This window comes from Homo sapiens, chromosome 18 (genome assembly GCF_000001405.40).
Source record: "Homo sapiens chromosome 18, GRCh38.p14 Primary Assembly".
In the NCBI taxonomy this organism is placed as follows: Eukaryota; Metazoa; Chordata; class Mammalia; order Primates; family Hominidae; genus Homo; species Homo sapiens.
Window position 1 is genome coordinate 30288707 of NC_000018.10, and position 1408 is coordinate 30290114.

General features: G+C 33.2%; 1 annotated feature.

Annotated features, from left to right (window-relative positions):
* Nucleotides 215-800: an enhancer, noted in NCBI's record as "OCT4-NANOG hESC enhancer chr18:27868886-27869471 (GRCh37/hg19 assembly coordinates)". NCBI's record gives its function as "activates a minimal SCP1, AML or CMV promoter by ChIP-STARR-seq in primed H9 embryonic stem cells {active_cell/tissue: H9 hESC(primed)}" and the evidence as "EXISTENCE:reporter gene assay evidence [ECO:0000049][PMID:30033119]".

A 1408-nucleotide genomic window follows, 5' to 3' on the forward strand; every position in this document is an offset into this window, starting at 1 on the left:
AGATTGGTTAGGTATAAAGATAAACTTTTTTGTCTAAATAACGTAACTGGCCAATATTTCAAAATGTCCCTTTAAAAAGTGTACTAAAATATCCGTGGCCCATATTATGCAACAAATACTAAAAAATTCCAATTTACCATGACGTCATACCAGATATTAGAGTGAGAGTACCAAAACAAACCAAGAAAAAAACCAAAAACCCCTGAATGTTCCAATGATGCCTATATAATACAGGAGAAACAAACAAATACAAATGCTACGAAATAGTGAATTGTGAGAAAATGAGTAAGAGTCAGGTGAAGAATTGGGAGAAGAGCTTTCATATAGAACAAGCAGTATTTATAAAAAATCAGAAACAAAAATAGGTCATAGGACAGTTTAGTAGTTCCCAAAGACAGGGCTTTTCAAACTGGATCAGCAGGATGAACATTACCTGGGAACTTGTTAAAAATGCAAATTGTTGAGAACCCCCTACTGACCTACTGAATTAGAAACACTTGAAGTGGGGCCGGCACTCTGATTACCCTGGTGAGCATCATTCATGCAAACGTTTAAGAACCTCTAATATAGACTTTGCATGTGCTTGGACCAAAGTCATTTGGGTGAAAAGAAGGGGAATTGCTTCAAGTTTCTTAGATGCTGCTAGACACTGATAAAATTTCTCTGGCACTGGTGCATTTCCTCTCTTTTAACCCTTATAACTTCCCCTCAATTTGAATGCTTAGAGACTGAGGAGTGCAATTATATTTATATTAAGGTGAAGAGTTTATAGTGAGGTATTAAACTTTAAGTTATACATTTTAAATTATAAAACAAATAAGCAAACAAATTTAACCCAAAATGTACAAAGTTTTTGGATAGCAAATATTTCTAAAACACACTGAAAAAGGAAGTGCAGATTTGTTTCTAAAAGCATTTCAATGGAAAAAAGTACAAATGCTTGCAATGATTTTCAGTTTAGTACAATAAAAGTTAATTTTGATTGTTTTGAAATTGACTTGCATTAAAATCTTAAATCACTTGGAGCCCAGCCTTGCTGTGGAATTTACTCTTAATATGACATCCCAACAAAGAGAAAAATGGGTGTGGTAAAAAGAAGAAGAGCAGTATGCTTTTTACAGCTGTTGTATGTTAAGAGATGCTGTGCAGAAAGTATGGCTCTGGAGAAAGAGAATATATTTGAATAGAATTGTAGTTTTGTGCACGATGAGTTCATGTTAAAGCATTTATCTTTAGCTCTTGTCTGCAAATGTTCTCTTCACTGCATAGGTCTAAACACAAGGCTATCTTAACAGTAACTGCCTTTATTTCTTTCAAGGTTTTAATAGAAAATATTTCACTCTTTGCCTGCTTTAGCTTTTTCTAATTCTAATGTATGATATTCTATTTAAAATTATTCCTATCAGAT